Raw genomic sequence first — 24,174 nt, forward strand, 5'->3', positions numbered from 1 at the left:
TGCTGGAAGGAGAGACAGATCCCTCTACAAAGCAATGAAGCCATGTCTAAGGCACCATGGGAGGAGACAATGAGAGCTGCCTAGAGGGCTTAGGAAGGTGTCCCAGAGAGAAGACAGTTAAGCTGGGCCTTGGAGAGCCTTGCCAGGGACAAGTGAGGGGAGGAGGGCTGCCAGCATAGGGAACAGCCTGGGCCCAAGTCCAGAGCCATGAAAGGAAAGACCAGCGGCCGAGAGTGTGGCAGTGTGAGGAAACTGCATGGCAGTGACTTGTAGGCCAGGAAGAGGAGTCGGAAGAGCCCCAAGGCTGTACCTGGCATGCAGTAGGCTCTCAAGCTCTGTCTTGAATGGATGATTGAATACATGTTCCTGTTAGAAAGATCATTTCCCGTCAGACACTCATGGGGGTCAGTGACTCTGTGGACCTCTAGAATTACAAACAAACTGGGTACATAAGCCACATTTTTTTTTCCTGAAGAAAAGGACAAGGTGTCTACCAGATTCTATAGTAGAAGCTAGACTAGAGACTCATGAAGGTAAGTTTTGTTTTGTTCACTGACATATCTTGAGCCTCTAGCAGAGTGCCTGGCACATAGTTGATACTCAATACAGATATTTTAGATTCAGAAATGAATTCTCAGAGGGGCCTGTGGTCCAGAAAAGGTGGGGAGTGGCCAAGAGTGGGACAGAGGAGGAAGGCTCGAGGCAGGGAGGCCAGATAAGAAATGTGCAGGAGGAGGGAAAGAGGCACGACCCCCTGGGCAGACGACAAAGGGTCAGGGGTTGAGCAGCAGAGAGTCTGGTTGAGCCACAGTTGAGAGGGGAACACATGAGGGAGAGAAAGGACTACAGCAGGCAGGGGAGAGGCCAGATTGGGCCTTCAGAATCAGAAATGTCTGTGAGGCATCTCAGGTGTGGTATCTAGTGTCTCTCTGGCAGCATGGGTCTGGAGCTCAGGTAAAAAAGCCATTGTGTCTGGATATGGAGACTTGGGGTCTCAGATTCTTAAAGCAACAGGAGAAGGTGAAATCACCCACAGGCGGAAAGGGAGGAAAGAAAATAGTGAGGCCCAAAGCTCAGGAAAGTTCCAGCATTGATGGCAACTAAGAGACAGTGTCCAGACTCACAGCAAGACTAGGAGGAGCACCACAGGGCCCGGGGAGCAGGTATTCCCAGGCCGAGGCCGCTGAGAGGCCTGGAGGCCTGAGCCAGGAAGTGCAAAGATAACTGCGGTTTCTCCAGGACCACAGCCATCGAGAGGTTGGGATGTAACTGAAGGGCAGATTCCAGCAGGTCAAAGAGTGAGTGGAGGACGAGAGTGCGCAGTCAGTGGGCATGAGGCTAGCTCCCTCAGTGACTTCATATGGTGGTGGAGGGCGGAAGTGAGATGGGGCAACCGCTGGAGGGCCAGGGGAGCAGCAGCGTGGAGGGACAGCATTTGAGAAAAAAAGTCACGGGCGTGGGTTTGTTGGTAGGGAGAGAAAGCTGAAGTTACCAGAGAAAGGAGTGAGTTGGTGGTACCAGGGCTCTGTGGGTGTGTGTGTGTGGTGGGGGGGAATGTGCGGGAGGGAGGGTGAGTATGAGTGTGTGGCACCAGGTAGGGTGGGATGATGATAGGCAGGTTGTAGACATGTTTGGGAGCCATGAGGAGGGAAAGGGGGGCTCTCCTGACTTTCGTCACTGCAGTGAAGTAGGGGAGAAACCATCTTCTAGAAAGAAAGGATAGGAGGGAGACGGGACCCAACTGCCCCAGCTCCAAGAAGCCTGCCCATTCTCTCCAGCTTGGAAGCAGCCTTGGTAGGGCAGTGAGAAGGGGTGGGGTGGTCTCGGAAGGTGGGCTGGGTGGGCAGCCAGAGCTTCTTGCCAATGCTGTAGACAAGGGACATATAGAACCCCCCACTCGCCACTGGCCATGGCAAGTTCCTTAGGAAGCGGCATTCTTTCAGCCACAAACCTTTGATCTAAGCCAAACTCTTCCTTAATTACATTCTGTTTTCTGCCAGGATCATTTTCTTGAGTGATCAGTTTTACTTCTGCTCCCCATTCTTGGAAGGAGAATCAGAGAACTGGAAGTAACTCCCAGTCCCCTGACTCCTTTAACCTCTTTTACAGGTTCCAGAGTCTGAGGGCCAGAGGCAGGGCATGGACATCCAGCCCCACATGGCAAACCCAAGCAGCCTGCCCAGCCCTGGCCTTCTACCACTTTTTGTTGTGGGCAGGCTGGTGTGCTCTAAAACCATCCTAATTTGCATTTTGTGTGTGTGGTGGGGCGGTGAGGAGGAAAATGACAGCCAGGAAAGGAGTGGTTGTAAGCTACTCTGGGAGGGAGGGTAGAAAAGGTTTGGGAGCTCCTCAGTCAGAGAGGGAAGGCCACTAGGTCCCCGGAGCCAACAGAGCAGACATCAGGTAGAATGCCTGTTTAGCTGGCAGGCAGGGGTTTTCCCCCTTGCTTCTCCTTGAGAGGCAGCAGAGAGGTGGTGGGCTGCCTTGGACTAGCGGCTTCTCTGGTGCCAGAAGCCCCCTGCCTGACCCAGCCAAGATGGAAGACAGGCCATCTCCCATAGCCTAGAGACTCAGGGAACTTCTCTGATTCACTTCCCTGGAGCACTGATTCAGGATTAAAGACAATTCTCAACTTTTAGGGGGAAACCGTCTGAGGAACAGAGTTCTCCAACACCAATCAAAGTGTTGCTCCCTTTTCCCTTACCTAGCTCTCTGACAACTGACAGCTTGCTAAGCTGAGAAACCAGCCCATCATGTGTGACCTCCCAGAGGCATTCTGGAGTCAGGGTCTTTCACCAAAGATTGCCAAATGTTGGGGCTTTCAGACGCTACAGCAGGTTTTTCAAGAAGTTTTAGAGATGAGCAGGGTCTTCCACTGATCAAGCTGACTGTGACAGTCAAATTGCCTTCAACTATCCAGAGAAGTTAAAGGCTTAATTCTTGTCTGTGGTCTGCAAGACCCTGGGCCACCATGACCAGAGGGTCCCCGAGCTGCAGGAAGAAGGCTGGGAGTGGCAAGGAAGGGGAGTATGGAGAGGGGCTGGGACTGGTTCCATGGGTGAGTCTGGGGGCACAGCCCTGGCCTCTGCCCAGTTCAGGCCACTCCTTCTCGAGAGGAGGGAGGGCAGCTGCTTGGATGGAGGACAGGCTGGATATTGCTTACCTGCCGTTGCCATATTTGATGCGAATGTCTCGGCTGCGGTTGAGCTCCTTGCCATCCTTGAACCAACGGTAGGAAGGCTGGGGATTACCGGCTGCTGCCTCACACTTCAGCGATTGCTTCTCACCCACCTGTCCCGTCTGGCTCTTCATCTTCTTCAACTTGGGCCGGGTGGCTGTGGGTTACAAGGCAGGTAGGTGAGCACGGTGGTGGTAGGGGCAGTGCCAAGCATGAGTAGTGGAGAGTAAGGGCCACTGTCTTTGGGCTGGAACTGGGGAAGGGAAGGGTGATCCTGAGAGCCACCCCTCCTAGTGTCATTTCCTAGTTCAATTCAATAAGCATTTATAATGAGTCTGTGATGACATCAATGTAGTTATAACTTATGGAGAGTTTCCTTCATGCCTTGAATGGTATGAAGCTTTACATTAGCTTATGAAACCTTCACAGTAACCCCATGAGCTCACAGCAATGGTTAAACCCACTTACAGATGGGGAAACAGAGGCTCGGAATGGTGAAGTCACTTCCCTAAGGGCAGATGATGGAACTGGGATTCAAACACAGATCTCCTTGACATCAGTGCTCAGGATCTAAAATCATGGGTAACAAGCCATGGGGCTGTACTGGTGGGCTCAGGCCCAATCACGGATGCAAAGCTGCAAATGCCAAGCTGAGAGGCTGTCCCCATTTTTCTTAAACGCCATTCTATTTCCGCATGCCCCAGTCTCCCATGCTTCACTTCCTTGCTCCTCTCCCCACCACCAAAATACAAAACAAAACAACACACACACACACACACACACACCCTGAAAGAGAAAGTACTCTCTTCTCAGGAAGATGAGGCTAAGCCAGTGCTCGTGCTGAGGTGTATAACAATTTCCAGTGGGATAGTCCCTTACAGGATACACAAAGCCTTCATGCAGGCTCTCGTTTGGTCCCTGACCTCTGTGAGGCAGTGTCATACTGACACTGATGGTGCAGATGAGACTCAGAGAGGTGAAGAAACTTGCCTGAAGCCACATAGCCAGGCAGCCACAGAGCTGGGACCAAAGCTCAGGTATCAAGATTTGCCACGTGTTAGGCTGGTAGCAGGATGGTGTCTGATTTTGTGGTCTTATTTCTCTCTGTGAGATGGTTAAAAGCCTTCCAGTAGCAGAAGGGAGGGTCTGTTGGAGCCAGGGAGTTGTCTGGGAACTGATTGGCCCTGTCTCGGCCATTGGTCCTTTCCCTAGCAACTCAGAGTGCTGACAATGGGCCAGAGCTGGCTCTGGAGAAAGGCAGGCAAGAGGGCCTGGCTAGAACAGGGGTCCCCTCATTGAACTTCACCCTGAGCTGCTGCATATACGCAGGGAGTAGATGAGAGGGGCACAGGGCACAGAGGAAGCACAGAAAGGAAGACTTTAAAAATGTATGACGTAGGCTTACACAATGATTCTCGTAAAATAATTTTGTTCATTTTAGAAAATGAAAAAATACAGAGGAGTGAAAAAAGAAGAAAACAAAACCTTCCTTTGTCTCCATACTCATAAATAACACCTCCCCCCATTTTTAAACAAAATGGAATCAATGCCATTTGTGGATAATAATAACAATAATAGCTAACCTTTGTTAAATGCTCTCTATGTGCCAGGCTCTATGTATTCTTTCATTTAATGAAACAGTGTAACCCTTTCGCCTGGGTGTTAAATATTAATAATAGCATTTCCCAAAGTGTATTCTATAAGCAGGAGTATCTGGAGAGATGAAAACAGATATTACTTGACAAGAGGGTTCCATGGGAAAATGGGTTTGGAGAGCATGTGGGTTAAGCATAGTTAAAGAAGTATCTATCAACTTCAGTATCGTTCTCTAAGTGGGGGCCTTGAAACCTTTTTTCTTGGAACTCTTGGTAGCATTTCAAGGAAATGAAAGTTATGTGGAACAAATTCTATGACTTATATGTGTATTTGTTTGTGTATATATATATTTCAACAATGATTCCATTGAATATATATATATAAACATATATTTTGACAGATATTAACATGATTCAAAATTCAAGAAGTGAAAAGAGGTATATGGATTAAAAAACAAGTCTCTCTCTAACTTCTGGCCACAACCACACAGTTGTCTTTCTAGGAGATAATCAATCTTATGGGTTCCTTTGACCTCCTTTCAGAAATATTTTATGCATATACAAATCCCGCACCCCCGAGTATTCACACACTCAGTTTTTCTTACAGCATCATTTTTCATGGTTGCATAATGTTCCTGTATGGGTGTATCATAACTTATGTAACTGATTCCTGTGTGGAACATTTAGCATGCCCCCTCCCCCTTCCCATTACAAACAACCCCAAAAGAACATCCTTGCAGCTTTATCTTTGCACACACCCCATGTATACTGCTGTATGGGGGAGGATGGCTCTAGACTCAGGCTGTCTGGCTTTCAATCCAGACTTTGCTACTTGTTAGATTTGTGTCCAAGAATTAACTTCATTCGTTTGCGCCTCAACTTCCACAGCTGTAAAATACAGGAGATAAATAATAGCTCTTACCTCTTGGGATGATGGCTGTGAGGATTATATGAGACAATGCATGTAGAGCCTGGCACATAGAGAGCATTTAACAAAGGTTAGCTATTATTATTATTATTCACAATTATTTCCTAAGGCGATCTTCCTAAAAGTGGAATTGCTGCGTCAGAAGGTATGCAATCTTTCTCAGCTTTGTACATTGCCAAATTGCCCTTTGGAAAGGTTGCACCAATTTGCGCTCCCCCCAGTGAATGACAGTGCCTGTTTTTTCCACACACTCACCAACACGAGGTATTATCATGTCTTTAATCTTTGCCAATTAGCTAGGCAAAAGATAACGTCTCTTTGTCATTTTAATTTGCATTTATTTGATTACTGATGAGGCTGAACATTTTTCATGAGTGTATTGGCCCATTGTATTTCTTCTTTTTGAATTGCCTGTTCATGCATGCAGTCTGTTTTCCTATCGAGTGCTCATCCTAGTGATTTGTAAGAACTTTTTATAAATATTAAGGCTATTAACCTTTTGCTACAAAGTTTTTTCCCCTCAGTTACCTGCTTTTTTTATATTGCTGGTTCTTCTTCTTCGTCTTTTTCTTTTCTTTTCTTTCTTTCTTTCTTTCTTTTTTTTTTTTTTTTTGGCACCCAGAGATTCTATGTGCATCAATCTAACAATCTGTTGGACTTTTTGGAACTTCATTATTCTAAGTGTGACTGAAATCCTGCTTTATCTTCCTTCCCTTACCCACCTCCCTCCCTCCTGCATCTGCTCTGGAGTCCCCAGTCATTGCTTATGTTAGGTCTTAACCCTGGATGCTAATCGGAATCACATGGGAAGCTTTACAAGTCAGGTACCTGGGACATATCCTAGGCATTCTGAAGCAGAAGCTGTGAGTGTGGGTTCGGGTTGTGGGTTCTAAAGGGCTCTTCAGGTGTGTTCCTTTATTTTTGGAAATGTAACATACATTCAGGAAAGTGCACATATTATAAGTGTATATAGCTCAATGACTGGTTACAAACTGAACACATATGCACAGGTGGCTTTGTGCTAAGATTGGGTTGACACCTGGTGATGATCTAACCTCTTGGTCAAGTGATGACCTCCAACTAGTCCCTTCTCCTTTCTTATGAACTGGGGACACAACACAGAGAGCTCTTATCAGGTGCTAAAGTTTCCCCTTACCTCACTTGGAGTGTGTTGACTTTTCTTGCAACTCAGAGACAAGGGAACTGCCTGTCTCCACCATCATGAGCCACTTCCCTCCCAACAAGATGGTGGGGGATGGCGGTGGCCGCTGGTGGGAGGAAGCAGGGGTTACTCTACCACCTTGGTTCCTGACATGAGTTCCAGTGCTGTATTATGCACTGAGCCTGTGGCCACTGCTTAGTGGTGATGGTGATGGGCTAGGGGGATGTGTTGCATAGAGACTGCTCCCAGAAACAGTAGGCATGGCCCTAATTCAGAGGGCCTGAGGAACTGAGAGCTCCAAAGTAATCGCCGGCCACCAATGGAAAACACAGGACCGCATTTCAGATCACAGGGAGCCCACTCCATCTAGTGAGAACCTTGTGTGACTCAGTAGCCATTTCTGGATAGTCCACTCACTTCAGAACAACCCTATCTAGTTCACCTGTTCCTTATTCATTTATTCAGTTCATTCCAAATGAATTCATTCATTCATTCAACCATACCAAGAAATAAGCATCCTACTGTTAGGGAGCCTGAATTTTAGTGAGGGGGACAATAAACAAAACATCAACAGGAAATATGAGACAGTTAAAAAAAAAAAGCAGCTGGATAAAGACCCTAAGGTGGGAATGAGCTTGATGAGTTCATGGGGCCAAAAGAGGCCTATATGGCTGGAAGATAGTAGAAGATGGGCAGGGTCTGAGGGGAGCCTGGAGAGGTAGGTAGGGCCCAGGTTGACATGGGGCTGTGCAAGCCAGGATGAGAAGTCTGGATTTATTTTGTACATTAAAAAAAAACTATTTATGTGCCTACTAGAAATTTTTAAATTACATATGTGGATTGCATTATATTTCTATTGGACAGCCCTGGTTTAAAGGATGACAAAATAAAAATAACCATACATTTGAATCATGCCACGTTCTTTACAGAGTTTTCTTTTATAGCTCTTAACGGTTCCTCGGAATCATCTGTGATGCTAAAAGCCATGCCTCCTGCTCTAGCAGCTGCAAGTCCTGGTCTTTGCTCACAGGCAATCCTAGTTTGCAGTGATTTGAAAGTTGAAAGCCAGGGTTGGGCAAACCTTGTAGGAAAGTTCCTTGGGGTCAGGGGGCAGTGGCAGCAGCTCAGGTGGCAGGAAAGAGAAGAATGTACACCAGATGGCCTCGGAACAATGTCCTCCACATCCGCACTCCTGGGCCTAGAGCCCTGCCAGGTTTTCTGTGGCAAAGATTGAGGTGACCTCCCCAAGATGGCCCTGGATTGGTTTTGTAGGTGTGCTGGGAAGGCATTAGAGGCTATAAGTTGGGGGATGACCTGATCTTACTTTCTGCATGTTAAGCTCATTCTTATCCTGAGCCACCATCCTTTCTCTATGCATCCTCTAGCCATTGGATCTAGTACCAGGCCCTGGGGTCATGTGGGATAAGGCTGAGGGGCTGTTCACATAGCAGACATTTATGCATCCAGAGACAGCTCTAACGGGACCTCAGACATGACTGGGCTAGATCGGCCCCTCACCTAGACACCCTCTCTGAGCTAGGTCTGGTATTGCCTGTTTCTCTTTTACAGCCCAGGGCCCACACTACAATGCTAGTGTATGGGTATAGAGATCATCGCACCATGTCTCAAGAATGTCTTGGGGCCAGAGCTGAACCAAGCAGAGGAACAGGCTTCCTGGGATGCATGGGATCTGTCAGGGAAAGAACTGAAGCAATGCAGTGGGCAGGCATTTATCCCCCATTCAGTCGACACTCTGATCCCTACCGCTGCTCCTTCCCCACAGATGGAGGGGTAGGCAGCAAGCTGATGGACTACTTGGGCCCTTGAGTATTGAGCACCTCTCCTTTCCCCTGTTTATTGAATGCCTGCTATGAGCCAGGTTCTGTGTTTGGCCCCAGACAGAAATGATCCGCTGTATATGGAGTAACCACCCCTACTCCGCAAAGAGTTTAGCTTGTCCCCTTCTGTTGTTGTTTTGTTACATAAGAAATTTTTGTTGTGAAAAAATTACACAAGTAAGGAAAAAGAAAAACACATTTAAATCAATTCAATTACCAACAGAGAGAAAGCCACTGTAGGCATTTTCAAATGTCTGCCAAAAGACTTTTCTCTCCAAAATGCTTTATATCCCATTTTTCTCAGTCAATATACATTCAAAACATTTTTCCAAGTCTAGAATCATTTCAGTAGCTGCATAATATTTCATTGTTCAGATGAGCATATTAGGTTGTCTCCAACGTTCTGCTAATAATAACAATATTGCAATGAATTTCTCCATAAATTCAGCTTTGTGGCTGAAGGGAGGAGCAGCAGTCCTGGGGGTTCATGCATATTTTCTCATGCAGAAAGGGGACCCTCAAAGGTCCAGCACACAGAAGAGTGGACAGATGAGAGGCATCTAGCAAAAGCAAGAGGAAGTTCTGTGTGCACAAGAAAGGGGAGAAAGTTCCCAGCACTCTGCACCCATGGCCATTACTGACACCCTGATCCCTGCAGCAGCTCCTTCCCCAGAGACGAAAGGGGCAGGTGGCAAGCTGATGGCCTACACAGGTTTTTGGGTATTGGGCAGCTCTTCCTTCCCCTAAGGTTTCCTCCTCAGACCAAGCACCCTCTGCTGAGCTCCCATACTCCTTGGGTTTTGGGGGAAGCCCAGAGGCTACTTCATCCATTCTCTTCCTCCTGGGACAAGGGTTCACTGGAGTTGAGGTGTGGGGATGTGGGGAGGTCTCCCTTGGCAGCTTTATAAGAACAAGAAGCTCTCTCAAGGATGGCCCAGGCCTCCACAAAAAGATTTTCCTCCAGGACGGGCTCCATAAAACTTTAGGACACCTCCCCATGGTTGCCATGAGTTGGGCCACAGGGTATCCGGTGGCTTCTGCTTCCTATCTCCTGGTGCCAAGCCAGGGCTTCTGGCCTGTATCTGTTTGACAGGCCATCCCCAGGAAGCTCCTCATTAAAGATAGCGACAACAGCAACAACAACCAGGACTGCTCTCTTCCCACATCCCAGCCCTGAGACCAGGGGGTGCCGCTGCTGCCAGCAGCTTAACCTCATTCCTCTCGGCAGTGGGCGGTGGGTGCGGAGCCTACTCAGATCTGAGAGCAAGACAGACGCTCAGGACATGGCTGGGCAACCCAGCCAGGGAGGACCTGGCTCTGCCTCCCTCCCGGCACCCAGCGGGCAGGGGCAGCAGGCTCTTAAAAGGGTTAATGATCCTCACCTCATGACTAAGGCTGAGCAGTTCCCTTTGCAGGGCAACACCTGGAGACAATGTGGCCAGCCTGCCTGGCATCAAAGTTTCCCACTGTCCTGCTGCTGGCCAGCTGCAGGCCAGCCCCCTTCCCACCCCTGTCCCACCCACAAAGTGACTGCAACCTATTGGAGGTTAATTACAGACTCCAAGTTCAAATGAGAAAGAAAAAAAAAAAACCCACTAAGCTAAAAACACAGCTGGTTTAAGTAGGCACAGACGGCCTAGGCAGCCAGGCATCCTACCCATGGCCTGCAGAAGAGCAATTTCACACTCACAGGACAGACTCCCAAAGGGAGTGTATGCCCAGCTGGGCTGCTTAGCTTTCCCTGAGCCACATTTCCTCAGTCACCTAAGCCCAGCCCAATGCCTGGGCTTGCTTTGCCCTCTTCTTACATCCATCCAACAAATACCCACATGCAACAGTCCCTATGATGTACGAGGCACTTACCAGTCACCAGGGATTTGGTGCCAAATAAGACATGGCCCTGGTGTCGGGTTGGTCTCTGCCTCCTGTTTAGGGCTCCCACAGAGGCTGATCCTCAAAGAGGACCACCTTCCCTGCACCAGTGAAAACCAGCCTAGACCTGATGGGCTTTCAGCTCAGCAGCCCAGGTGCCTGGCATCTCAGCTGCAAGGTAGAGAAGAGGGGCCAGGCCAGCTGGGATGAGAACTAAAGAGGGGAGGCAGAAGCTGCACCAGGAGGGCAGATAAAGAAGAAGGGGAAGGGAGGAGGAGGAGACAAAACTTGGCAGCATGAAGACCAACAGAAATGATTCCTGCCTTAAAGCTTCACCTGCCCATCCAGAAGCACCCATCCACTGACACCCAACTTGCAATGTGAGGGCAGGTATGCACAGGCCCAGGCCTGACCACCAGGGACAACACTATTCCCACCCACAGCCCCCTCTGCCAGGAGCCAAGCATCCTGAGAGAAACACTGGCCTCCTCAGGGCTCTGCAAGGCCAGGGAGAGATACCTCATCCCCAGAGTCACGCAGGTCCACGCCGCAGTGCTCCACCCAGCGCAGGGCTGGGATACAGGCACACGAGTAGCAGAGATGGGGGATGAGGAGGTTGTCACCTATGTCTGGGAGAGATGGCACAGGTTCACAGAGCAGGGCAGCAGTTGCTGGGGTAGGCATAGGGATACCCAGTACAGATGCCTCAGTCTCCCTGGGTTCTTAGCAGTGCTTGTGGCACAGGCTGTAGACACCTAGGGCTGGCACGGATGAGGCACAGAGGAAGCAGAGCAGGAACAGGGGAAAGAGAGGCAGCTGAAGACACAGCAATCCAGGTCTTTGTCCCAGTCTCCCAATTTCTCAACTGTCTGCCCTTAGATAAGTAGTTTAGCCTCTCTGGGCCTCAGTTGACTCATTTATAAACCACACTCTGTCTATTTTAGAGGAATAGAGCAAGAGAAAGCTCTCTATGGAGGGATGGAAGGCCTCTGACCACTATCATCTCTTCAGCTGCTGAGGGCAGAGGTCGGGGACAAAGCAGAGATGGCAGTTCTGGAAAACTGTTACCATTTACCCAAACTCTGTTTAATCTCCCTACTGGGGAAAGCTGGGCTCTGGGCCAAAGTCTTGGGCCCTGGCCCAGGAGAACCTTCTGTGGAAAGGGCCAGCTGTGGGTGGACTAGGCCGTCTCTTGCTCAGGGAATTCAGAAAGGGCCAAGAAGGGGATCCCAGAGCCCCATCCTCTTTGGGGTGGGCCTGTGCTTCCTGCCTCCTTGGCCTGGCTGGAGAAAGTTGTTTCTGAAGCTCTGAGTCTTGGGGAAATGTAGCAGGGGTTGGGGAAAGGGGGAGGCACCCTGTACATGCAGAAAAGACTGGCTTCTCAAACTGGGATACATGCAAAGCCATAGGATGATCTCAGGGCCTCTTTCTGAGGGTCTGCCAAGCTTATTAATAAGGAAAAGCAGCACCTTTGTATCAGAACAAACAGACATATGGTGGAGAAAAGTGTTAAGTTCATGTGGATTTTTAAGATAAAATAAAAGTATAAGGTTTTGAAAAAATGCTGGGTTTCAGGAGAAAGGTCTTAGCAGGCCTGATGCAGAGCAGGAACAGGCTCATGTGCTCACCATGGGTGCAGGGTGCCCAGGCTGCCAGAGGCCCTGTCTCCTTCCTTCAAATTCAACTGCAAGCATGAAAGTCCCAGCTTAGGCACCCTGGGAGCTTGGGAGGGCTGAAATGTGGTCCTTGTGGTCCTGGCTAGTGAGGGCAAGGGGACTGGAAAGAACTCACCCCAGAATGAACACCTTCCTCCCTGGGTATTTAGTCATTAGGTTAAATATAACATGCGGAAAACCAGTTTCTCCATCTTCTCTTCCAAGATTGCTCCTTCTCCTGGATTTCCTCTTTCAGTCACTTTATCTGTGACAACCCTGTGTCTCTCTTGACTTTCCCCAAAGGCTGAGTCCATTTGGCTTCTACCATGCCTCTTATCCTCATAACTCTCCATCATCTGCCAGGCCCTGGCTCAGGTCATACTGCTCCCCACCCCCCAGTACCATGACATGAACAGTGTACACTTGGCAGTTCCACCTCAATGTGCCTCACGGCCATTCAGAAACCTTCCTTGGCTCTGTGATGTCTGTAGAGAAAGGCCGCCCACCTTCCTTACCTGGCAGCCAGGGCCCTCAGGGGATGTTTGCTGGGTCAGTGAATGGGCTTCCTTCCCAAACTTGCCTCTCTACATTCCCCTACCACTTCCCTTCAGGAATCGTATATTCCAGGCAAACCAAATCACCGATTGCTCCCCAAACTTGCCCATGCCTATTCTGCCCTGCCTCCATGCCCTCTGCTCCTGCTTCCCCTAAATGCCATCCCTCACACAGGAAGCCGAGTTGAGAGGGTCAGACATGCAAGCTGTGGGGTCAGACGGATGCCACTGTGCATTCTGGCTCTGCCCAGCACTTGTATAACTAGGCAAGTTACTTAAACTCTCTGAGCCTTCATTCCTTGTCTGTGAAACAGGGACAGTCTCATCCACTTTTAAGATTGTGGAGAGAATTAAATGAGGGTAATGTATGTCAAGAAGTTTGCACAGTGCCTGAAACAGAGATAGCTTAATAACCGGCAGCTCTTATTAATCTAAATCCCTCAAGATCTCAGATGCCACCACCTTCACTAATCCACCCAGCTAGAAGCAGTCTCTGCCTCACAGACTTCCTGAGACTTTCACACGCTCTTCTCGGGGCTTCTCACCTTGGAGAAAATCAGGTTCTTATCTTTCTAGACTGTGAGGAGCTGGTGGGGGCATGTGCTGCAGAATCGCCGTGTTTCCTGGTGTCTGTCACTGGGTAGGTGTTCACTGATCACAGGCCAAGTAAATGAATTAATGCTGTAAGGCTGGACTGTGACTGATGGGTGCCTCAGAGCAGCCCAGATCAAGACTGCTGTGAGCACTCGCTGGAGGGTGGGATCCATTGACAGGTAATCCCAGAGCCCCTTCCCACCCAACACTCCTCCCCAACTCATCCCTCTCCCTCCCTGCCAGCCCAAACAGGCATCTGCCCTAGAATGGCAGAGCAGATAATGAAGTCGGGGCCCTGACTGAAAGATGACTCTTGATCAGCCTACCATTGCCCAACCATTAAGGGGCTCCAGCCTGGGCAGGAAGCTCAACTGGGGCAGCCTCCTTCCATGAGACTGACCCTCTTCAAACAGGAGTGGCCAGCTAGGTCTCCACATACAGGGGTGAAATAGCTTGAGAATGTCCTTATTCATGTGTTCGTTCAAGAATGGATTGAGCACTGAGCACATTTCGAGTGCTGAGGGTCAAGTTGATGTGGCCTTCGCCCTGGTGGAGATTCTGGCTGAGCAATGTGCTCCTCACCTTGGGGACCAGGGAGGCCCTGTGGAGGAAACAAAGCCTATGCTGGACCTGAAGGATGAGCAAGAGTTTGCTAAGAGAGAACATGTGCCAGGCAAAGTGAACAGCAGGTTCACAGGAACAAGGCCGGAAGGAACCACGAGGTACTCATGGAACTGAGAGGAATCCATCTGCACCGCAGGCATGAGAGGTGAGACCCATGCTGCAGTGGCTGGTTTAGGGGAGCAGGTTGCTGCCCTCATTCTTGCCCTATAGGGCCAAGTCCTTTGCCTTGGTGTGTGGACTTCCCTCTCTGGGCCTCAGTTTCTCCATCTTTACAGTGAAGGGAGTGAACTATGAGTTCAGATCCAGACCTCACCTGACTGCACCAGAAGTCACAGCCCGTTTGCCAGGTCCAAACCCCCAGAATCCTCCCAAAGTGTTTGCAGCTGGCGAGCTATCCCGAGGCAAAGCCTGTGACCTCCTCTACCCAGCCATCACCACATGCACATTCTGATGGTTCAGCTGGGGCTACTGCAGGAGCTCCTGACTGTGCCGTCCCTTTTCCCATCCTTTCACAAAGAGCTATGTGGCTATGATGCCTAAAGTGCAGCTTGGACTAGGTCACCCTCCTGCTCAGAACCCTTCATTCCCTGCTGACTCAGAAAAGTCCAAACTCAGTAGCCTGGCACTCAGAAAATCCACTGTTTGGCAGCATACCTTCTGGATTGTGCCTTATTTCCCCAAATATCCTGTTTCCAAGCCTCCACACCTCCTTAAGTGACTTCTTCAATCTGGGCACATAGCCCCTTTGCCAAAGTCCTTCTCATGCTCCAAAGTCTGCCTCAACCCCATCTCCTCCTCCACGAAGCCTCCTCAGATTCCTCTGGTTAGAGTTAGTCTCTTCTATCTGTTCTGGGCCATCTCTTGCCAGGGTCAGCCTTGTAATTGAAATTAGGTCTGTTCGTGTCTATCTCGTCCTGCCAGGTGACAGGATCTCAGCCAGCACTGCAGACCCCAAGCCTCATGCCTGACACTGAGGAGCTGGGTTAACACCTATGGAACTGACAGGCCCTCTACAGGGCTCTGCTCCAGGAGGCTGGGCCACCCAGCTCAATCAGTGATTCTTAAACATGAGCATGCATCATAATAAATGGTGGGTGGGAGGGGGGCTTGATAAAATGTACATTACTGGCCCCCATCCCCATAGTTACTGATTCAGTAGGTCAGGGGTAGGTCCCAAGAAATTGTACTTCTAACAAGTCCCCAGTTGGTGCTTTAAATCAGGTTCCCAATAATTTAAATGTCCATCTTTTTCACAAGGGGCTCCATAGGACCAGATATCTATTCATTCTGATGCTAGATCTAGCCGGACTCTAGACCTCTAGCTTGGTTTCTGGCTAGGCCATTTGACCATAACAAACCACTGTCTTCTCAGGAGCTCCTGCCTATTTGTGCAGGCTCAAGGCCTCAGTGCTACCCTCCTCTGTCAGTGTTCATGGCTCCTGTTCACACCTTACTGCCACAGTCACACTGCAAGCTCCTTGTGAGGGCAGGGACTCGACCCACTTATCTTTGTATCCTCTCAACTCCACCCAAGAGCCCAGGAAGTAGATATCTGACCAGTTGATCTGATGGGGAGGGCCTGCTCCAAGTGGACCAACAGAGATCCTCTGCCTCTCCCTGGTTTTTGTTGAGGGGCATGGAAGAGCCCAGAGCCAGGTGGACTGTGCATGACTGAGGCTGGGCAGGGGGCAGACTTGAACTTAAGATCTCATCCTGCCACTAATTCATGGTTAATCGTGGGACTTTCTCTGCCCCAGTTTTCTCATCTGTAAAGTGAGGATGATAAAATAATACCTATACTTTATAGTATCAGTACTGGCCTGTAGTGAGTCCTTAGTAAATGAGAGCTGTCTCCCTGTCTCCCATGCAAGTTGGTCATGGACATGTTTCTACTTCTAAGAAGTCCCTTTTCTTTCCCTGGTAAGTTCCTATTCACCATCCAGGCTCAGCTCCAATGTCATCTCCTCTGTGAAGTCCTCCCTACACCACCCTAGGAGAACAAATCATTCCTCTCCTCACCAGATGTTGCACATTTATCTCTGGTCTTACCCTCGGTTCTGATCATAGGTAGTTGTATAAGGATCTGTCTCTCTGAGCTTCCTGAAGACAGGGCCTGTTGTTTATTCACATAATAGAAGCTCAGTTAATGCCTGCAGAATTGAATACACAAAGATGAGTGAACGTACATGTAGTTTATGCAGTTTATGTAGTTACCATGTGGCCAGAGCCTGGAAGTCTTGATGAGAGGATGGCTAGGCTGGAGGAAGACTGGGAAAATGGGCTGCTACTTGCTTCCCACCAAGTTACAAAGGGTGTGCTACTGGCTCAGAAATGGTGGGAAAACACAATGAGAACATGGTTCCAATGGGGCCCAGGTCTCATGCTTTGGCAATGCTTTGCCAGAGGGTTTTTTTGTTTTGTTTTGTTTTTTCCTAAGCCCCTCTTCCATATAGTAACAGTCCCTCAGGCCAGCCTGGTGGGCTGGAGAACAGAGGAGGGCTAGTGGAGTAAGTGGGACTGACCAGGTATGGGTAGCAACTGGGAAACCAACCCCGAGGCCAGGGCTAGGGCCTGCCCAGGCTGGGCCAGCACCTTTTCCTCCATGTGTCTTCATTTTGGTGCTGCCCTAATGTCAGAGCTTTCCTGACTTGGCCCTGAAGCTCCCAGCACCAAGGGGAAGAAGGCAGCAACAGGCAGCACCTTGGGATTCCTGCAAAAATCTGACTCCAAGGGACTTTGCTTCCAAAAAGCTGCTGCTTCTTCCTCCAGCAACTCAATGAGCCCACACAGGCCAGAGGGCCTAGGTCTCCACCTAGGAGAAGGAATGGCCCAGCTCATACTCTTTTAAGGGGGACTATACCCTCTGTTTGCAACCTAAAGCCAGTAGTCCAATTTTACTTCTATCCCAGACCTACTGGCCATCCGATTCCCCCAACCCAGATGACTCACTGCCCTACCCCAGCTGTACCGCTGTGCCAATCTGGAAAGACTAGAGCTCTTGGTCCCCTCTTCACCCCTGCCAAATGCCTGGGACCTGGGATGAAGACTGATGAGTCCTGGTCTGTAAATTGCTTTGAGCTCTCAGGATGAAAGACTGTTGGGAAGTACAAAGTTACTCTGCTTGTTGTTATTGTTTGTAATGAACCTCGAGGTGCCAGGGAGCCAGAGCAGAGCATGAGGCATAGGCTGAGCTCCAGAGTGGCAGGAGGACAGCTCAAGGTGCCTGGCTCAGCAGGGTCAGCCAGGGGCCAAGACCAGAGGTGGAGGCTGCCAGAAGCAACCCCCAGATGTGGCTCCGATACATGCACATGAGCATATCCCACCTCTGACCTGGTCCTGGACAGCCTAAAGAAGGGAGTTTGTTTTAGAAGTCAGGGCAGCATCTTTATCAGAGGCAGGAGATAGCAAAGATGGGAAAGAAAGGCTTTGCAAAGATTTATCTGTGTCCAGGGAATTGAAATGAGATGTGTCCAGAGCCCTCAGCTAGTGATGCTAATCTGCCTTCACACTCCAGGACACTCTGGTGAAGACCAAAGTCTGCTCCATGTCTGCCTGTGGGCAGCTTCAGACTCTCAGTTCACAGGGACCTCCAGCAGAGGAGACTTTTTTTAAATGAAACCCTGACCAACTGGGGCACACAGAAAAGGCTGGTAACTTAGAATCCCCTTCCAAAGTCATTCTTTAAAACAACACAGCAACTACAGGGATTCTGATTTTCTTTAAGGCCAATTTTCCCCACTCCTCCAATCTCATGGCTCTCCTCTAGGGGTTCTCAGAGATGCTGGGTATGCAGGCTTACGCTCTGCCCTTCTCATATAGAAGGTGAGGGCTGAGCGTAGACTGCATATCCAGAGACCCACAGAAAGGGAGGACAGTGTCTGAGGTCACACAGAGGTCCAACAGGGATGAACCCCAGGTGCCTGGCTTCCAGCTGTGCCATTCCACTATACCATGAGTGGGCTTATTACCCAACACCCCCAGCACCGCTGCCAAGGCTGGCAAGACTATGAGCTGGGGAGAAGGGGAAATGGGGGATGGGGGAGACCCAGTTCCCGGTTAGGGATACCAAGCCTCAGACCCACAAACTCTCAGTGAGTCATGGAGCAGAGCTCACACCTGCAGTTCAGCCCCAGCCAGCACTCCTGCACTGAGGCAGAGGAAAAGCCCATTTCCCCACACTGGCCTGGGTTTGTGTGGAGAGAGGTACCTCTTCCTGCTATTTGCTAAGGAGTTGTTGGAGGGTGCTGAGTGTGTGGTCAAGGACCAGGGGGAGCCCATTAATTAGTGTCCCCTTCTCTCTCCCCTCCTTTCTCCCTCCCACTTTCCAGATTCCCACCCCACATCTAAGCTAAAGGTTTTAGTGAATTACTTGCTCATGCTTTCCATGTGCATTTCCCTGGCACTAGTGATTCCCACCAGCTGAAGCCCACCGAGTGCTTGCTACCAGCTCAGCTCCTGCCTCCTTGACATTGAGAGAGTGCTCTTACCTAGCTACCCTTCCAAAATGCCCAAGGTAGGATGTGTATGTAGGGGGAATGGGAGTGGGGTGGGTAATGGAGGTGGCTCACTGAACCAAATCCATAAATTTTCGATCATAAAAAGAGGCACCCTGCATTCTTTCAGATCTCAGTTTGGGAGCTCATCCCACACTGCAGGAGCCCAGCTTGAGCTGACCCACAGGCTCCTCATAGCAGACCACCTGTCCTTGGGAAGAGCTATAAGACACACTTGTCTGGCAGAAATGGGCAAAGAGCTTTTCTCTTAAAAAGAAGGAGAACACAGTTCTGGCCTTTAAGTTTCCTTAACTGCTTCTCTCTACCCTGCTGGAAATAGTGTTTGACGCCTAGGCTCTTCCCAATAGAGACCTCAGAGCCTTGCTACCCCTTCCCTATCATTACACAGAAATTCAGGAAAGGAAAGGGATTTGGCCAAATTCTCAAGCACCATCGAAGCCTCCCAGCTTCCCGTCAAACGCTCTTTTGAAGGCATTTTTATGTTGCTGATCTGGTGGGCACTCCAGTGAGGGGATAGAGACCCAGCAAGTCTCAGGACCTTTGTCCTGAGAATGCTACTTTGAAGCCCAGTCTTATCTCTGGAACGTACTTCGTTACTTTAACTTCAGTAAGCCTCTGTTACTCCCTCTGTAAAATGGAGATAGGACCACCTGCTCCCAGGATTGTTATGAGGATTAAATGGAGATAAAGCATTTGAACATGGCTTGCCTGTGACTCGTACAAAACACATAAAATTAGCACAAAATTAACAAAACGCTTGCCTGAAGAAAAGAACCGAGAATCCAGGGTTTCCCCAATTGGGCCCCAGTGCAAGCCTGGTTCTACGGAGAGGATGTGCATGCCCCGGGCCGCCTCTGAGAAGCCCGAGACCAGTGCACTCCTCTTTGACTCTGCAACCGCCCAGGGAGGGCACGAAAGTGGGTCGCAAATCATGGCTCTGCTCCTCCAGGCAGGGACAGAATCCAAGGGCCCAAGAGAGTCACTCCCGAAGACCAGAGAGAGACAACTGCCCAATGTCTAGTCCAGTTCCCAGGGAACTGTCACAGAAGCAGCGGCTCCCCTTCTCTCTGGGGTTCGCGAGCGGGGCAGGGCATCCCCTCCGAGTCTCCGGAGTTGGCGGGCGCTGTTGCCCACGCTCCAGTGGCCGAGCAGAACGGAGGGAGGTGTGGCACATGGGTAGGGGCAAGCCCGAGGGCTCCGATCTCTCCGAGGAAGGGAAGGCAGTGACAGCTCCCGGAGCGCTCGGCGGCCAGGCCGGGCCCAGCGTCTGATCAGCCGCCGCCTTTCTGTCGGTATCCGCGGCTCCATCCCCGCTCGCTCAGGGCTGCTCGCCTGCAGGCCGGTACCGGCGTGCAGCGCCTCTTGCCCGCCCCTGCGTGGGGACGCGGCCGCCCGGGGAGAGGCGCGCACAGCCACTGTCGGGCTCCTGGCACGCAGCCCCTTGCTCTCCCGGCCGCGACGACCCGCTCGCACGCAGGCACGCGCGCCCTCGGTGCCTGTCACCGCGGCGGCCGCTAGCGCAGCCTAGACTCACCCGCGCTGCGCTGGGGGCGGGTGAGCGGGCGGCAGGTTTCTCCCAGGGAAACCGGGTTTCTGGGCGCGCGGAGGTGCCCTACCTTTCTCCCCGGGATCGGGCTCCCTCTCCCGCTTCCTCCCCTCTGGGTGCTTCTTGCCGCGGCCGCGGCCCCTCCTCCTGGACTCCGACATTCTGCACGGGGTCCCAGGCGGTGGGACGGCCTCAGCTCTCCGCTGCCGCGCTGCGCCCCCGCCGCCTGCAGCCTCAGTGCCCGAGCGCGGCGCCTTTCTTATAGGCGGTCACACCCTCCGGGGGAGGGGAGCAGCGAGCCTTAACTCTTCCCCTCCCGCGCCCTCCACCCTCGCCCCCCCTCCACCGGCTCGGGCCGCGGGGGCGTGTGGGCGGCCGGTCTGGGCCCTAGGCCCCCTCCCTGGGCCCACCGAGGTAGGCAAGACCGGCGCCTAAACAGGGCGCCACAGACCTCCTCGCCGAAGAGGGGGCTTGAGCTGGGCTGGGGGCCTGAGCATGATTGGGGAGGGCGGAGTAGAGATCCCCCAGCGAGGGCCAGGCTAAGGACAGCATGGGGGTGGGGAGACAGCGAGGAAAGGGCCCAGGAAGGGACCAAAATGAAGCCCGCTAGCCAGCCCAGCGGGGTAGCGAGCACCCTTGGCTCTTGCGGTGGGTCTCCACAACCTCGAGGCACCCCCGGCCGTACAGGCGGGTTGCCTGTGCCTCTCATGCCTGCAGGTCTGGCCTCAGCCCCGTGGGATACCGCCATCTGGGGAACACCTTTAATGCAACCACCATTTGTGCCTGGCAGCAAGGGGTCTGTGGCCCAAAAGCCCCTCCCAGCCAGGGCGGGCTGCACTCTGCAGGGAACCTGGGTGCCCCAGGTGGCTTGTAGCCCCCCTCCCACACACTCTGGCTGCAACTCCGACAGCCCAGGCTGCCGGCACCAGCTGGCTCCTCTCTGCAAGGCCTGCGGAGGTGAACTCAGACACTGACTCCCCACCCCCGCCCCGGTCCCACAAACCATTGGGTAGGGGCTGCTGGAGAGGACAGAGTCCTCCCTCCTGCCTGGGTGTGGTGCTGAAAGGGTTACATAGCAAAGGCTCTCCCTCTTCTGGCTCCCAGAAAGCCTGAGCCTGCGGTTTGCCTGCCTAGCTCTGCCTGAGGTGTCCCCTTACAGCCATCCCAACCAGAATCCAAGTCAAAGATCATCTCACCCAGTCCTCTGTCTCCTCAGGAAGGGTCCGAAGGCCTCTCTGGACAGGATTCTCCTTAGGAGAGCCTGAAGCAGGCTTAGGACTCTGGGTCAAGGCCAGGGACTCGAGCTCCAGGGCTGTCTGGGGATGCGGCCAGAACTTGAGGCCAAACTTGTGGGGTGGGAACACAGAAAGGGGGAAGCTGGAGGTGATGGCCCCGCAAAGGGCTGATCTTGGGGCGCAAGTCTGTCTCATCAGGGGCCAGCTCTGGTGGGGGGGGGGCAGGTGTAAGAGACAACCCTTGTACCCCACCCCAACTGAGGGAGAGCGAGTACCCACCCCACTTCACACAGTATCACTTTCTGTGAGGTGGGCAGCAAGGGGCCCTGGGCAGAACCAGAGCCAGGGGCCAGGTCTCACTTCTGCTTCAACCCCTGCTCTTCAGTTTCCAAAATGGCATTCATATCCATCCCTCCTCAGCCTTTGGGGTACTGCCTTGGTTCATTCCCTCTTCCTATCCCATAGACAATGGTCTCCTTGCTTGAAGTCTTGCCTCTCAGTTCTGACCTCTCCAAGGCCATCAGAGTGAGCTTTCTTTCTTTCTTTCTTTTTTTGAGATGTAGTCTCACTCTGTCGCCCAGGCTGGAGTGCAGTGGCGCCATCTTGACTCACTGCAACCTCCTCCTCTCGGGTTCAAGCGATTCTCCTGCCTTAGCCTCCTGAGTAGCTGGGATTACAGGCCTGCACCACCATGCCCAGCTACTTTTTGTATTTTTAGTAGAGACGGTGTTTCACCATGTTGGTCAGGCTGGTCTCGAACTCCTGACCTCCTGATCCGCCTGCCTCAGCCTCTCAAAGTGTTGGGATTACAGGTGTGAGCCACCGCGCCCGGCCCAGACTGAGCTTTCTAAAACACAAACTAGATCACTTCACTCATTGTAACCCATGGGTTAAACCTAAACTCCTCATGGGTGTCCAAAGCCCTATTCTACCTGGCCCTAGCTCACAGCCTTCTAGCCCCCAAAGCCTATACCTCAGCCACTTTACTTACAAGTCACACACACTTACTCTATCTCCTCTCATACCTTTGCACATACTATACTAATCTCTCTGCCCAGGATCTCTCTCCCTTTTTGGCCTACCTGATCTCTGTATTCATTTGTTTGGTAAATAGGTAGTCAGGCTTACTGTGTTTCGGGCACAGTGCTAGGTGCTGGAGATACGGCAGTGAGCAAGACAGACATGGGCCCTCCTTACGTAAAGGCTGGTGGGGATGGAAAAATACCTAATTACACAAATAATGGATTGATTAAAATTTGTGTGAAATATTAAGGAGACATGCATTCAACAAACCTTTATATATGTTGACACACAGCTTGACAGAGGGAACAAACTGTAGTGAAGGAAGGCTTTCCCCAGGAAACACTTAAACTGGGATTTGAAGTATGAGTAGGAGTTGGCCATATTAAGAGGTACTGGGGGAAGAGTATTCCTGGCAGAAGTATCAGCACATCCAATATCCCTGAAGCAAGAAGGAGCTTTTTTACCTTTGAAAAAGAGTATGCTGAGGGCTGTGTGTGTGCGTGTGTGTGCATGTGCACATGTGTGTATGGGATGTGGGTATATGAGTGTGAGTGTGCACATGGGTGTGTATGTGCATGAGGTGTGTGTACATATGAGTGTATGCCTGTGTCTAAGGTGTGTGTGTGTACACGTGGGGTTTGTGGGAGGTCTGTGGACTGATGGTATAAATGTTGTAAAAGGAGCCTGGAGAGGAGGCAGGCAGTGGTCAGATCAAGCAGGACAGTTGTAGGTCCAATGAAGACATTGGGGTTTAATCTTAAGAGCAATGGTCTGCTATGGAAAGCTCTTCAGCAGGTATGTGAGGGGTGGGAGAGGGCAACGATGAGATCCTCTGCTTCCTGAATTCTTTTGATGTATCCCTCTAAGAACACTTGACTGTTGTTTTTCATTTCCACCTCCGTCTCTTCCACTACAGTAAAAGCCCCTTTGGGATTGTGACCCCAGTTTCTGGTACAAGGTAGGTAGTAGGTACCTCCTTGTGGGACAGATAAGTGACCCTCCTTCCACTAGTAAAGAATGGCCAAGGGTATCAGCAAGAAAAAAATGGCTCAAACTGGGGGATTGCAGCCAGATGAAGACAATTCTCCTGGGGGTAGCTCTCCCAGCAGTCCAGAGCAGCTCATGACTTGGTATCAAATGAATGATACGAGTCAGAAATGGCATGGAAATTCAAAGGGGGCACGAGCACTCTCCCTGGACTGGAGTATCCAGATCTAGTGCTGAGGGAGGTTGGGCTTGAAGAAGAGCTTGAAGGATGGGTAGGATTTTGATGGGGGTCAGGTGAGAGATTCCAGATGAGTGGGATACGACAAAGATCTAGGGGGAGCATTCCCTGGGCACCTGCCCAGGAGACAATGAGCAGACCAGGTTTATGTTAGGAAACTATGGGAGCTGCAAATACACACGGAAAACACTTACGGGACACGTACTATCTGCCTCAGCCTAGTGCTAAGCACTTTACACATTTTCTCTCTTGTTATCCTCACGACAATCCTGTGAGGGAGGTCAACTCTTATTCCCATTTTACAGATGAGGAAACAAAGGCTAGGAGTAACGAGTCTTCTCATTCACAGTCATGTACCCAGGAAGCTGCAATGCAAGGACTCCGGCCTTCGCCATTTTTCACTAGGACCCATGCTCTTTACTCTGAGACTAGACTGCTTGTGAGCAGGTGAGAGATACACTTGGACTGCCAGCTGAGGCTTTTGGGCCTTATTTAGTAAATAATGGGAAGTTGAGGATGGTTTTTTGAGGAAGGGAGTGACTTGTGTATTAGAGAAATTAATCTGACTGGAATGTGCAGGATGGATGGGAAGGAGAAGATAGTGGAGACGAGGGAGTCAGCAAAGCAGGTC

General features: G+C 51.0%; 1 protein-coding gene across 8 annotated transcripts in view, besides 1 other annotated feature; it reads right to left on the bottom strand.

The window, feature by feature from the left end:
- NRG2 (neuregulin 2) overlaps window positions 1-24,174 on the bottom strand; it is a 196,519-nt gene that overhangs the window by 37,396 nt on the left and 134,949 nt on the right. For 7 of the 8 annotated variants that reach the window (NM_001184935.2, NM_013981.4, NM_013983.3 and 4 more), the window contains exon 2: window positions 3,164-3,335. In NM_001184935.2, the coding sequence (NP_001171864.1) occupies window positions 3,164-3,335 (172 nt within the window). Of the gene's footprint in view, window positions 1-3,163; window positions 3,336-20,130; window positions 20,296-24,174 lie in introns of those variants that run through there. The other variant, NM_001410780.1, reaches the window with a different exon arrangement.
- Window positions 20,012-20,091: a silencer, noted in NCBI's record as "silent region_16436". NCBI's record gives its function as "represses an Ori minimal core promoter by ATAC-STARR-seq in GM12878 lymphoblastoid cells {active_cell/tissue: GM12878}" and the evidence as "EXISTENCE:reporter gene assay evidence [ECO:0000049][PMID:35858748]".

This window comes from Homo sapiens, chromosome 5 (assembly GCF_000001405.40).
Source record: "Homo sapiens chromosome 5, GRCh38.p14 Primary Assembly".
NCBI lineage: Eukaryota > Metazoa > Chordata > Mammalia > Primates > Hominidae > Homo > Homo sapiens.